Source organism: Homo sapiens, chromosome 3 (genome assembly GCF_000001405.40).
Source record: "Homo sapiens chromosome 3, GRCh38.p14 Primary Assembly".
NCBI lineage: Eukaryota > Metazoa > Chordata > Mammalia > Primates > Hominidae > Homo > Homo sapiens.
Window position 1 is genome coordinate 31,590,851 of NC_000003.12, and position 15,351 is coordinate 31,606,201.

Consider the following 15,351-nt stretch of genomic DNA (forward strand, 5'->3'; position numbering starts at 1 on the left):
ATATTTACTATCTTGACTGTTCAAAACAAGATTGCTGGATCCTGGTCAAGCATGCTCTCCATCCTGGACAGTGATCCACATATGCTTGAAAAGAACATGTATTCTGCTGTTTGGAGGTTGCATATTGTAAATTAATGGTCAGGTCAAGTTGGTTGATATTGTCCAAATCTTCTATATGCTCATCGTTTTTCTTTTCAAGTTCTATCTTCAACAATATGGTTGGAGATTTCAATAACTGCCTCTCAGAAACTGTTTCTTCTTTTAGTTCTGTTAGTTCCTGCTTTATATATTTTAAGGATTTGTTTTAGGTCCCTGTATACTTAAAATTTTTACATTTTCCTGGTATATTGACCCTTTTATTATAGTGAAGTAGTTCTCTTTATCTCTAGGAATGTTGTCTTAAAATCTGCTTTGTTTGATTGATTTCATATGATTCCTGTTTCCATGGCTTATCTTTTTCTGTCCTTAAAATCAAACTATTTGTATCTCTGGATTTTAAAAGTTTCATTGACTGCGTATGGTTAGATCTTGCTTTTTTATCCAGACTGACCATCTCTGCCTTTTTATTGGAGTTTTAAGTATTGTTTGATTTGCACCTGCCATTTACTGTCCTCTTTTGTGTTGAAATGCATTTTTAAGTATACCATTTTAATTCCCCTGATTGTTTAGCCTGTTATTGCTATTTATTTATAGCGCTTGATGCAGAGAACGAATTATGCATCTTAATATTACAATCTACTTCTACTTAACATAATTCTGGTAAAATATAGCAGCTTTGCTCCAACACAGCCTTATTTTTTCTCTCCTCTCCTCTGTGCTGTTATTGTCGTATGTATTATATCTATGTATGTTATCTACCTAACAATACAGATTATATTTATATTCATATAACTTACACTTATTAAATTAAGAAAACAATCAAGAGAGTCTTCTATATACTCCATATTTACCATTTCCAGTATTCTTTATTCTGTCCCATGATCTGAGTTTCCATTTTTTATAATTTCCTTTTAGCCTGAAGGACTTTCTTTAATATTTTTTCTAGAGCAAATCTGCTGTAATGGGATTTTTCAATTTTGCCTTCATTTTTCCCCCAGTTTTTTTAAACTATGGTAAAATTGACATAACACAAAATTTATGTTTTAATCATTAAGTATATACTTTATTGGCATTAAGTACATTGATTATGCAACCACCATCACCACCATCCATCTCCAGAGCTCTTTATTTTGCAAAACTGAAACTATACCCATTAAACAATATCTCTCCTTTCCACCTTCCCCTCCGCCCCTGGCACCACCATTCAAATTTTTGTCTCTATGATTTTGACTAAATACTTCACATAGGTGGAATCATATAGTAGTTGTCTTTTTGTGACTGGCTTCTTTCACTTAGCATAATGTCTTCAAGGTTTATCCATGTTGTAGCATGTCAGGATTTTCTTCCTTTTTAAGGTGGAATAATATTCCGTTGTATGTACATGCCATATTTGGCTTATTGATTCATCTGCAGCTGGACACTTTTATGGTCTAGCTACTTTGAAAGTGGTTATACAAATCTCTCTCCAAGACCTTGCTTTCAATTATTGTGAGTATATACCTTGAAGTGGAATTGTTGGGTCATATGTCAATTCTATTTTTAAATTTTGGGGAAATGCCAAACTGTTTTCCACAACAGCAGTATCATTTTACATTCCCACCGACACTGCACAAAGGTTTAATTTTTCCCTGTCCTTGTCAACACATGTTATTTTCTGGTTCTTTTGATAGTAGTCATCCTAATGGGTGTGAGGTGGCATCTTGGAGTTTTATTTGTAGTTCCCTAATGAGTAGTAATGTTGAGCATATTTTCATGTGCTTATTGCCCATTTGTAAAGGCCTACACCTTCTCCAGGGTATTCACGGTGACTTTCTAATTTCCCGTCATATATTTCTTTGTATATGTGGTTGATTTTGAATGTCATAGTCTTTAGTATTTGGTTTCCAAAGTGGGGAAAAGCAGAAAAATGAAGGGGAAAAAAGTGCCAGCCCTTTAAATCCCCTGTCAGTCACTTCAGCCAGAGGAGGAGGGACTTGCAACATTGGGGCCAAAGTGCAAAGGTGATCACTTCTGTCTGCTCTTCTATGACAAAAAGCAGCAATCAGTGAGCAGAGTGCAGAACCTCAGTACTTGGAGGACAAGCTTCCTCACATCAGATTGATTCTGCCCGTGCAATTATTGTCTAGGTGGGGAGCTGATTTCTGTTGCTTCTTCTTTCAGTATCTTCCCAGAATCCTCACCTGCCTTCCTTTTTGAAGGATAGTTATGTAAGAATATATTAGGTTGGTGCAAAAGTAATTGCGGTTATTCCCATTACTTTTAATGATACTTTGCTCTTTCATTGAACACTTGATAATTTTCTCTTTCATTTAACGCTGTGAGTATGTCATTCCACTGCCTTCTGTCAAAATTTTTTTTTCTGATGCAAAGTCAATCATATCGTTACTTCCTTGTGGGTTTTTTTTTCTTTCTCTTTTCAACTTTTCCTCTTTGTCTTTATCTGCCAGTACTTTGACTACAGTTTGTCTAGGTGTAGTTCTCTGTATTTATTGTATTTGGTGGCTTCTTGGGTTTCATGGATCTGTAGATTAGTGCTTACCTTAGAATTTGGGAAGTTGTAATTGTTTCTTTAAATGTTTTTATCTGTCTGTCTTTGTAGCCTCTCCTTTTTTGAACTTTGTTTTTCTCTGTTCTTTGGGTTGGATACTTCCTGTTGACCTATCTTCATGCTCACTGATTCTTCTGCCATCTCAAATTTGCCATTAAGCCTACTTAGTGAATTTTTTATTCCATTTATTATGCTTTTCAGCTCTAAAATTTCTAGTTCATTCTTATTTCTCACATGTATAGGAGAATATGTATCTCTGTTTCTTTATGGAAATTTTGTGTTATATCATTATATTTTTCTTTAATTTTCTTAATATAGTATTCTTTAATTCCTTGAACATATAACAGCTGTTTTAGAGTCTTTGTCCTCTAACTCCAACATCTGGGCCCACTCAGAAGTAGTTTTTATCAACCATGTCCCCTTCCCCAGCCTATACCTGTCCAAATTTGGGTCACACTTTCTTGTTTCTTTGCATGTCTTATAGTTTTGGGTTGAAGCTTACCCTTGTTATTTTTAAAAATAGCTTATCCGAACATGCAATTTTCTATTTCAAAGCCTCTGCTACTGGACTCCTTAATATGTGTAAATGAAGACCAAATGGTGAGCATGACTTATTGTCTGGGAAAAAACTCAATCCATATTTTTTCTCTGCTTTCACACCAAAACAATAATCATCAATACAGAAGACTTATGTGACCTCAAAATATTTGGCGATTTCTCCCCACTGCCAAGCAGTTAATTCTGCTGCGGACACCAGCTGGTGTCCTCCCTATCATTTCTGACACTGTCTGTCTGGAGATAGCACGAGATCCCACAGGTTGAGGGCCTGTCCCCAAGACACTGTCCCAGCTTATGCCCCCAGACACCAGTTGAAAGTCTGGGCCTCTAGAACTTCTGATAGCCCAGCTTAAATTAGGGATTCCCATCACCCCCTCAAGGTTTTTTTTTTTTTGGATGGAGTCTCGCTCTGTCCACAGGCTGGAATGCAGTGGTGTGACCTCAGGTCACTGCAACCTCCACCTCCCGGGTTCAAGTGATTCTCCTGCCTCAGCCTCCTGAGTAGCTGGGATTATAGTCGTGCACCACCACGCTCAGCTAATTTTTGTATTTTTAGTAGAGACGGGGTTTCATCATGTTGTCCAGGATGGTCTCGACCTCGTGATCCACCTGACTCGGCCTCCCAAAGTGCTGGAATTACAGGCATGAGCCACTGGGCCCAGCCCCCCTTCACAGGTTTGATTAATGTGCTAGATCGGCTAACAGAACTCAAGGAAACACTTAGTTCAATTTGTTGGCTTATTATGAAAGATACCCTAAATTATACAGATAAACAGCCAGATGAAGAGATACGTAGGACAAGATCTGGAAGAGTCCCAAGTGCAGGAGCTTCTGTTGCCATGGAGTTGGGGTGCACCACCATCCTGGTACATGGATGAGTTCTTGATCACCTTCCTGTCAGCCTCCTTGTATTCAGCTGTCCAGAAGTTCACCAGACCCTGTCCTTGGGCCTTTTATGGAGACTTTATTGGTTGTCCATGATTGAAGCATGGACAACCTTGTCAAAATGTGACTGGACAAAAAGAGTGTGACCTAAACCCAGCAAAGTCTATCTGTTCAGATTCTTCTTGGCCTCTCTGTGCAGCATTCCTTCCTCCAGGTATGGGGCAGAACCCTCTCTGAAATGAGGGTCTTATGACCCAAAATCAAATTAGAGCCCTGCCAAGTGGAGAAGTGAAAAGTGAGTAGGAGAAGTTCAGAGACAGAGATTCTGTAACAAGGGGAGTTAAGAGCCACGAACTGTGGATGAAAGTCCATATATCATAATACCATACTTACAAAGTCCTAACTTTTCTCCTAAAGTCTTTTCAGTTCCTTCTGAGTAGCTCAGCTGTTTTCTGTTTTGGCAGGTGGTGTTGTTTTCCCCTTTTCGTTATTGATCCCTCTCTCCTTGTTTATAATTCTTCAGTGCCTGCTTTGACATTTTGACCATTCTTTTACATAGATTTTGTTACTCTCATTTCTGTTTTCATGCAGTTAGTTTCTGATACCTACCTCTATTATAACACTTTGTATATAGTACCTTTCATCAATCCTAAAATGTATACTTTCTCCCCAGATTTTGACATCTCTGAAATTAGGATGTATGTTATGAGTGATGGTCATAGTTTCTATGAAATATGGTATATTGGTTACTTGCTTTTCAGTTTACTTCCTCCTCTAGATTGTGAGCTTTTTGTGGGCTTAAAAATTTTAAATTCCACACCTATACTTCTTCCATCTGTGCCTGCTACTGAATCCACTGTGGGTGATTGATTGGATGCCTTGCATCTTTCCTGCCTCATTGCCCTCAAAGTTCTGCCCAAAACCACCACCTCAGTAAAGCTTCTGGTAATTTTATCCCAGCCAGAACTGCTTTCCTGCCTTTGGCATTCAGGCTCTATAAGGACCTTTTGGTACTCAGTGTTTATACTCACCGTAGAGTCTCTTTTATATTGTGTTTGACTCAAGTTCTTGCCTTTGTATCTTATCTCCACAGTACAGGACTGAGTTATAGTTTGTGTCCAACATAGCCTAGCAAAGTTTTCTGTGTATTAGTAAATACTGAAAAATATGTTTCATTTACTTTTCTCTTTCAGCCAATTGGATTGAGTCTGGGGAAGTTCCAAGATATGAACTGTAGTTAGTGGTTGTAAAATATACCTTGGTTTTATTGTAATAGATTATAGCAGTCTGGGTTCAGTTAGGAGAGAGAAAGAAGTATTAATTATGATAAAAGAGTAACTAAAATAGAAGGAAACTCTATATGGTATCCTGAGGCTGAGGGAGAGTACCCAGGAAAGGGCAAACTTGGAAGGTTTTCACACCTCATTGCGTAGGGTGTGGTTCAGCCCATTGAACTGGTTTGGCACTGCTGAACAAGCAAAAGACCTCTCTGGAGTGTAGACACCTAAGGAGAAGGGGTAGGAGGTGGCCATGGTGACCTGTGGCATGGTGTGTGGATATCAGTGAGGGCAAGAGACTTTGCAGAAAATGAGAAAAATGTAATTTGTTATTTAAAAGATGATTCTTTTTACTGAAAACTACATAACAGAGAATGAGAGCTATTCTTAAAATGTCTCAGTGTGCTGCTCAGTGTTATAAATGCATATATGAAGTATGTCTGCATATCTGAATAACCACAGTATTTTTTAGAATAACCTTGACTTTTTGTAGCCTGTGGTTACCAAACATTTAACTTTTAAAAATTCCGCAAGAACATTTGTAAACATTTTTATTATATCAGTTGCTTTTGTTTTTTAGGTAAAATCTGTAAAAACTGGGTCAGTTTTTTGGACAATGTGCTGCTGCTTATCCTATTTCTATATGGTAAGATTTCATATTTGAGACTACATGAAGTCTAGTAGGTCTCTGGAGGTTAAAACAGTTCTTTTCTCCTGAAGTCTGTAGGATTTTTATTTTGTTTAATGTAATCTTTCATTACTACCATCCTCTTTCCTTCTCCTACTCACAGGTCCTGTATACACCTGCTTTGGTGGAGAGGGCTAACATTTAACCCCTCAAATATTTGCAGCAAGTAAAACAAAATGTTTTCAAGTGTACCACTTCAAAATACTTAAATGTTTTATTAAGAATTTTTTTTAATTTTTTAAGATTATATTCATTATTTATTTATTTATTTTGAGACGGAGTTTTGCCCTGTTGCCCAGGCTGGAGTGCAGTGGCACGATCTCAGCTCACTGCAGCTTCTGCCTCCTGGGTTCAAGCAATTCTCCTGCCTCAGCCTTCTGAGTAGCTGGGATTACAGGCGCCCGCCACCACGCCTGGCTAATTTTTGTATTTTTAGTAGAGACGGGGTTTCACCATGTTGGCCAGGCTGGTCTTGTACACCTGACCTCATGATCTGCTGGCCTCGGCCTCCCAAAGTGCTGGGATTACAGGCATGAGCCACCATGCCTGGCCTGTCATTTCTTTTTTCAGAGATAGTGTCTTTCTCTGTTAGCCAATCTGGAGTGCAGTGGTGCAATCATAGCTCACTATAACCTTGAATTCCTGGGCTTAAGTGATTCTCCCACTTCAGCTTCCTGAGCAGCCAGGACTACAAGCATGTGCCACCACGCCTGGCTAATTTTAAAAAATATTTTGTAGAGACAGATCCTCACTCTGTTGCCCAGACTGGTCTTAAGCTCCTGGCCTCAAGCAATCCTCCTACGTTAGCCTCCCAAAGCACTGGGATTATAGGCAAGAGCTGCCGTGCCTGTTTTTTAACTTTTTAATGACTTAAATTTAAATATTATTTTTCTATTCTTCCTAGCTTTATTCATTTTATTTCATTATTATTATTATTATTTTTTTTTTGAGACAGAGTCTGGCTCTGTTGCCTAGGCTGGAGTGCAGTGGTACGATCTCGGCTCACGGCAACCTCGGCCTCCTGGGTTCAAGCTATTCTCGCGCCTCAGCCTCCCAAGTGGCTGAGATTGCAGATGTGTGCCACTATGCCCGGCTAATTTTTGTATTTTTAGTAGAGACAGGGTTTTACCATGTTGATCAGACTGGTCTCAAACTCCTGACCTCAAGTGATCTGCCTGTCTCAGCCTCCCAAAGTGCTGGGATTACAGGTGTGAGCCACGGCACCTGGCCCCTAGCTTTATTTTTTAAATAGCTCTGACAAGTAAAATATTTTCCAAGTTAGATTGCATACTCAAAAAGAACAGGAAATTTTGCCTGTCATATATCAAGCATGGAACCATGTTTAGATGAAATAAGTTTTTACTTAACACTCAATTTTAAATATGGTATTAAAAATTAGTTTTTCGTATTGGAGTTGACTAGATAACTGCTTAATGTTAAAATCTGAGTTTTTAAACAGTCATTATCTAAACAGTTTAGTGAAGTGAACTTAGAACAGAGAAATAAGAGTACTTGGAAGTTTTGGTGAAAAAGATAACCCAAGTAAAGAGTTAACTAAAAAGAGAGACGGATTGAGAAAAAGCTGTAGAAAGACTGTTCTTCTGGCCCATTTGCTTTCATTTCACTCCTTAAAGTAAATGAAGGAAAACTCTTAAAATGAATTTATGTGGGTCCGAGAAGAAATAAATCCCTGTAGTTAAAGATCATGCATAAGATCAGCAAGTACTTTTCAGAACATCAGATTCACTGTCAGACTGGTTTCAGCTTTTCTTTGTTCTTAAGTGAAGAGAGTAGATAAGGTAGCATATTGATATTATGCTCAATTTTCAACCTTAATGTAGTAGATACCTAGAGTCATTACCGAAATAATGGTCATATCCTCTAGGTTAACCTGTAAATTTACTTACTTTTTTTTTTTTTTGAGATGGAGTTTCGCTCTTGTTGCCCAGGCTGGAGTGCAATGGCATGATCTCAGCTCACTGCAGTCTCTGCCTCCTGGGTTCAAGCGATTCTCCTGCCTCAGCCTCCCGAGTAGCTGGGATTACAGGCATGTGCCACCATGCCTGGCTGATTTTTGTATTTTTAGTAGAGACAGGATTTCTCCATGTGGTCAGACTGGTCTCGAACTCCTGATCTCAGGTGATCCGCCTGCCTCGGCCTCCCAAAGTGCTGGGATTACAGGCGTGAGCCAATGTGCCCAGCCACCTACATATTTTTTTAAACAGGTTTCTTAAGATTGGGGTTCAGTATTACCTTTTTATTCTTCTTTCTCTTTTTTTCTACACCATAGCCTGTATAGTAGTCTTGTTTTGAAAATTAATGACAATTTGAGCTAATCTTTTTTTTCTTTTTAAACAAATGTCATGGAATATGTGCATCCAAGTTATCTGAGTTAAAGTGGTTAGAGCCTGGGGCACATTCTGGGTAGTTGTACTTAGCAATATCAAACTTGTTCTCTTTCAAATTTAGACTTAAATTTTTAAAGTAATCAGAAGTCTTTCAGATAGGACTGGCGCTCCATTAGAATAACATTGTTTTTTGTGAAAAATAGCATGTGACCAAGGCAGAAAACTGATGTATGTATTGAAAACTGATGGCAGTTCTCCACAAGGGGTTCTGAAATATTTTACGTAAGAGAAGCATTATTGGAATAGATATGCTAGCATATAGTCTGCTAACATGACTGTTGATACAAATGAGCCTTTCAAGCTCTGATTATTAGAGGACATCTAAGAACTTTGATATTGACAGGAGCTTATTACCTATTATTTAGTGTACCAAAAAATTAATTAATTCTATTGGTTGAGAATGGAGATTCTCTTTAGAATATTCATTAATGTAGACCAAGAACATCCTCAGTTATTCTGGCTAAATAGTGTATATTGTATAAGCCAAAGATTAAAATGGGATCTTGCTTTGTAATCCATTTTTAAGAAAAAAATTCATGCCCAACTAGCACTTTTAGTTTTGAGAATCTCAAAGCGTATTCATGTCATCTGAATTTTTTTTAGTTGTCAGTGAGTCCTTTCATTGCTCTTACTCTCAGTGACCTTTCTTACAACAAATTTGTCATAAAAAGTGGGTGAGGTAAAACCCGTTTTTTTATTTTCAAAATTTATGATCTATATCCTAAAACTCCTTGTCTCTATGACAGTCTGTTTACTGACAATTCACAAATTATAATACTCTCAGCTTTTCTATTAAATCTAATTTAATTTGAACATTTCTCCAGTGCGTTTGGAAAAGCATATTGGATTTGTGGGATCGTGTTATTTTAATGATCAATAAAAATGAGGAATACGTTCTTCATAGGTTAGTAAGTTCTTATTTAAGCATTTCTCAAAATTGCTAAAATCTTAATGTTTATATTTGCTCATTGTATGTTTAGATTCCTAAATATACTTATTTTAAAAAGTAAAAATATATATTTAACTTAGCACTTCTTTTCCTATAGGTCTCTGCTTGGGGTGGTTATGTATTTATCATCAATCTTATTCCACTGCATGTATTTGTGTTGTTACTGATGCAGAGATACAGCAAAAGAGTCTACATAGGTAAGTAATTTGATTTTTGACATCTGTCAACTAAGAGATGTTTTGTATTCATTCATTTTATTGAAGAGATATTTCTATTTGGTCAATATTATGCATGAAAAGGTAAAAATAATTTTGTGTTCATTTTGCTGTTTATATTGATAAGGTCAGGCATTTTTATATAAGTGCTTTGTCATCAACTTTTCCTTGACAAGTTTTTTTTTCGTTTTTGTAGAAATTAGTCTGGGTTTAATATTTGTCTACACTTTTTCCTCCTCTTAATTTTGGGGAATGGGAATTTTTATCATGAAAATCGTTCACATTTTTTATATCGAATTCAACTTACTGTAAGAGATTGACATCCTCAAAGTAAGCAGCTTAATAAGCTTTCAGAAGCTCTTTTTTGGATAATGTACTAATAGACTGAGTCTCTGTTGTCTCTAGAAAAATGTTCATTTTTCTCTACAGGTTTTAAAACAATATTTTCACTGTGATGTTTAGCGGTAGATGATGTTTCACCTTAGATCTCATTTTCCATGATAGAGTTAGAACTTCTATGGGTTGAAGGAACTAGAGAGCAATTGTGAACTGAAACCAGTGTCTTAGTAAAATAATACAATTCTATTATAATAATGTTTTTGGAAAACAATAACACAAAGATAAATCTTAATTAAATTCATTTTCAAAAGCATAGTAGCTTGGCAATTTCTCAGAAGTTAACCATAGATTCGTCATATGACCAAGCAGTTCCACTCCTAGGTATTTACCCAAGAGAACCGAAAACATATATTCATACAAAAGCTTCTATGTGAATGTTTATAGCAGCATTTATTGTGCATAATGGCCAAAAATGAAGACAACCCAAATGTCTATCAGCTTTATGAAACCATAAAATATGGTATATTCATACAATGGTGTATTATTAAGCCATGAAAAGGAATAAAATACTGATATATGCTACAACATGAACCTTGAAAACTTTATACCATTATGTAAAAAAGCCAGACATAAAAGGCCACATAGTATATGATTCTGTTAGTGTGAAATGTCCAGAATAGGCAAATCCATAGAAACAGAAAGTAGAGTTTGTGGGAAATGTCCAGAATGGGTAAATCCATAGCAACAGAAAGTAGATTAGTGGTTGCCTGGGGATTTAGGAGGAGGAGAATGTGGAGAGGAGAGGAGAGGTGTGACTGTTGAATGGATATGGGGTCTCTTTCAAGGATGAGGAAATATTTTAGAATTATATAGTAGTGATGGTCGCACAACCTTGTGAATACACCAAAAACCATTACATGATAGGTTATTAAAAGATAAATTTTATAGTATATTAATTGTATCTCAACAAAATAAAAAAGCATAGTATATTACATTTATAGCCATTTCAGCATACTTTTTCATTTGATACTGTGAGGGTAGGTACTATTCTCATTTTACAGGTGAGGAAACAAGAGGAGACATAATAATTTGCTAAAGATCATGTAGCTAATAACGGGGCTGAGGCTTGAACTCAGATTTTGGCTTTAAAGCCTGTAATGAGCCAGCTGTAGTAGCTCACACCTCTTATCCCAGCTACTCAGGAGGCTGAGGCTGGAGTTCCACTTGAGTCCAGGAGTTCAAGACTGCAGTGTGCTGTGATCTTGCCACTGCACTCCAGCCTGGGTGACAGAAGGAGACCTGTCTCTGATTGCATGAATGACTGAATGAATGGCCCATGATGCTAAAAACCACCAAATCTGTGTGCCTCTCGTTTAAACAAATAACCGTACTGTTGAAATACATACACCTATGTATTTCTCTACCCCAAAAACACTATAAACAGTAGTTGGGATCCAGAAAGGAGAATAATAAATAACAGATTAAACTTTTTTTTTTTAAGTTAAATGGTTACAGTGAAGGAACTAAGAGGGTGTTTTGTTGTTGCTGCTGTTGTTGTTGTTTTGTGTAAATTTAAAAATTGGGGATCTTGGAAATTTAATGGTCAGAGGAATACAAGAGAGAGAAGATTGAGAAATACACTTTATGAAATGCCATGATTCAGGAAGAAGAGCCAAAGGAGATGTCAGAAGTAGTCAAATAAGTATATTGTTAAAATGGTCAGATGGAAGTATATTCTACATAAAAGTTTAAAATTCAAGCAGTGTCCAACTCCCCTTTAACCTTAGCACCAAGATTTCAAAGGATTAGAATTTGAGAAAGGCCTTTGTATTTGGTAGCTGGGATTTTTTTTTTTTTTTTTTTTTTGGTCACTCTAGAAAAATATGAAATTCATACTACTTTGGTTGATTCTTGAGAGTATTTTAAGAAGAAAGAATAATAAAATGGGTTAGGGATGTATGTGTGTATAAAGCTAATGTTCATAATGTTCAAATTCTCCACTCTACCCAACTTGTTTCTTTTACTTATAATTATCCAGGAGTATTTTGATGATTTCTAGTCTGCTTTCTTAGGGTTTACTTCTAAATGGATGGAAAGTAGTATGATAGAGCAAGTGTTGCTCTTCCTTCATCCAGAGTGTGTCAGGATTTAAGTTCAATTTCTCTTAACTTAATGGTCCTAAAAACTATGGAAGCATTGTAAAGTGTTTGTATATAAAGTTCTTTGATTTTGGCACGTAACATCCTTTGTCTTTTGTTCTCTCTCCCCTTGAGCAGAAATGTTTAGGTAAAAAAAAATAAGGATTGATAAATGTCAGACTCATAATTATATTAACTAAAAGTTTAGTTGTGTTGTTCTAAGTGTTGAATTAAATGACTTGAATTATTTTAAATAATTATGAAAAAGTTGTGTCCTCTTTGAGTAGATTTTTTCAAGTGTCCTTAAAATCAATTGTAGCACAACCACAGAAAACTGTCAAAGTTTATTCACATGTGGAAAAGGAGGCACATGGGTGGTAATGTGGATGTATAGTGGTAGAAGAGTGGCATGGGAATTGAGCAAGGGAGGTGTAAGAAAAGCTGAGATGGGAGGCCGTCTCTACTTGAAATTTTGGGAGGAAAAATTTAATTTTCTGTTAAGAGATATTTTTGACTTGGTGAATTTCACTATATTGGGAAGTAAATGTTTAAAAATTATGTTATGCATAGGATTCTACTGTTTTAAAAGGAACACCCAAACCTTATGTTGCATTTGTAGAAAGAATGGCTTGCAGGAAATCACAGTAAAACTGATGGGATGTGAAGTGATTTAAGCTTTCTAATTTGATTAAAGCTTATCATACTTTGTGTTCATGTCATAAGGAAATTATTAAAGATATGAAGTCAAATTTAGGGATATTTACTGTGGTATAACTTGTAATTGTGAAAATATGGAACTAACTTAAATGACCAATAGGGGAATGATTTTTTAATTGCAGTGTTGCCATATGGAATATTATGCAGCCTTTAAATTTAATCTTTTTGAGTATTTGATGACACAGGAAAATGTTAATTAAAAGCAGACAGTAAGGATTACCAGTGATTTTTTTTCATACTTATTTCTGCTTTCCAGATACATACAATGAGTATGTGTTAAGTTTATAATAAATAAGACTTGGTTTTTAGTTTATAGAAATAGGAATTGTACCTCAAGGGCTGCATTAACTAGATTAGGTTAGTAATTTAAGCACAGAAAAGAAATCAATTTCTAATATTGATGAATGCTTTTGAAATGTCACTAGAACAGCTTGTTTATGGCATTGTCTATGTTTTCTGCAGTGAGTTGAGTAAGGAGAGTAACAGTTGTTTTTCATATTATATCTAAAATGTATTTTTTAGATGATATTTGCTGGGAACCGTCATTAAAGTTTTTTGAACATACTACCTACTTTAGTTCTGTACAAATTATTATGGGCATTATATATTTTGTGAATAAAGAAAAGATAATCCAATTATTGAGTACATTAAAAGTAAAGCCAAATTATTAGGAGTCACATTTATACTTGGCAGCTGTAAACAGAACACAGCTAATGCTAGTTTAACTTAGAAAAAACAAACTTAAAAAGATTGCATGTAAAAAATCCAGCATTAAAAAAAGAAAAGTTCCCGGATACAAGGGCTGGAAGCTCTGGAGTTTATTTTGTCTAATTCTACCATACTACTGAGGAAATTAAAGCAAATTTCACTCACCATACATTTATTAAGTGTTGAAAAAATAAATACTGTTTTGTGCTAGCCATTATGATACAAAGATGAATAAAAACCTTCGTGTAAGGAGTGTATATTATACAGTGTAATCAATTTAATAGCATATGATCAAAATGGAAATAGGGAAAAATTTGTGAAAATCAGTTTGGACTTTAACCATGTTCTTTTAAAAGTTTTGGAGATAAGTCTTGATCTTGAGAAGAGAGAATAGTACAGAAGCAGACTTAGAATTTGTGGTAATGTAACCATAAATAAAAGGTGCCATGACATTGAGGGTAAGAGTACATACTCCAGAGCCAATCTACCAGGGTTCAATTCTTGCTCCCTTACTACTGTGTAACTTTGGACAAATTAATGTCCTTTGATGTCCTTAGGCCTTAATGTCCTCATGGGTCAAATAAAGATAATAATAGTTACCTTACAGATTGTTAAGGATTAATGAGTTACAGGTTAATATATGAAAGGTGCTTAATAATAGATGAACACAAAAAAATACTATTTAAGTGTTTGCTTTTGTTGTTGATGTTAAAGTTATGAAGGAATAGCCAGATAGACAAAAGAGTTCAAGAGGCTAAGAGAGGTGATTACTGTATTAAGACTGAAAGGATAAAACCCCAGTGTGAATCTAAGGAGTGTTCCTTCTTTTTTTTTTAAGTGAAAATAAACTTTCACTCAACTATTTTTGGTTGTGAGAAACATAATGGAGAAATAACACTTGTGTGTTATAAAGTACAAAATAGCAATTAAAATATAACCTGTAATAGGTGTTTTTTTTTATAATTTTAAAATTTGATAATAAATGTTGATATGGTTTGGCTGTGTCCCCACCCAAATTTCATCTTGAATTGTAGCTCCCATAATTCCCATGTGTTGTGGGAGGAACCCAGTGGGAGATAATTGAATCATGGGGGTGGTTTATCTCATACTGTTCTCATGGTGGTGAGTAAGTCTCACAAGATCTGATGGTTTTATAAGGGGAAATCCTTTTCTCTTGGTTTTCATTTCCCTCTTGCCTGCTGCCATGTAAGATGTGCCTTTCACCTTCTGCCAAGATTGTGAGGCCTCCCAGCCACGTGGAACTGTGAATCCATTAAACCTCTTTTTCTTTATAAATTACCCAGTTTCAGGTATGTCTTTATCAGCAGCATGAGAACAGACTAATACAGTAAATTGGTACTGGTAGAGTGGAAGGCTGCTGAAAAGATACCCGAAAATGTGGAAGCACCTTTGGAACTGGGTAACAGACAGATAGATATTGGAACAGTTAAAGGGCTCAGGAGAAGGCAGGAAAATGTGGGAAAGTTTGGAACTTCCTAGAGACTTGTTGAGTGGCTTTGACCAAAATGCTCATAATGATATGGACAATGAAATCTAGGCTGAGATGGTCTCAGATGGAGATGAGGAACTTTTTGGGAAATGGAGTAAAGGTGACTCTTGGTATGTTTTAACAAAGAGATGGGTGGCATTTTGCCCCTGCCCTAGAGATTTGTGGAACTTTGAAATCGAGGTAGATGATTTAGGCTATCTGGTGGAAGAAATTTTTAAGCAGCAAAGCATTCAAAAGGTGACTTGGGTACTGTTAAAAAGCATTCCATTTTTAAAAGGGAAACAGAGCATAAAAGTTTGGGAAGTTTGCAGC

The 15,351-nt window shown here is 36.0% G+C and overlaps 1 protein-coding gene across 3 annotated transcripts in view; it reads left to right on the top strand.

Moving 5' to 3' along the window:
* Positions 1-15,351, top strand: part of STT3B (STT3 oligosaccharyltransferase complex catalytic subunit B) — a 104,692-nt gene that overhangs the window by 57,926 nt on the left and 31,415 nt on the right. For all 3 annotated transcript variants that reach the window (NM_178862.3, XM_011533465.2, XM_017005858.2), the window contains exons 4-5: positions 5,948-6,013; positions 9,510-9,609. In NM_178862.3, coding sequence (NP_849193.1) covers positions 5,948-6,013; positions 9,510-9,609 — 166 coding nt within the window. The remainder of the gene's footprint in view (positions 1-5,947; positions 6,014-9,509; positions 9,610-15,351) is intronic.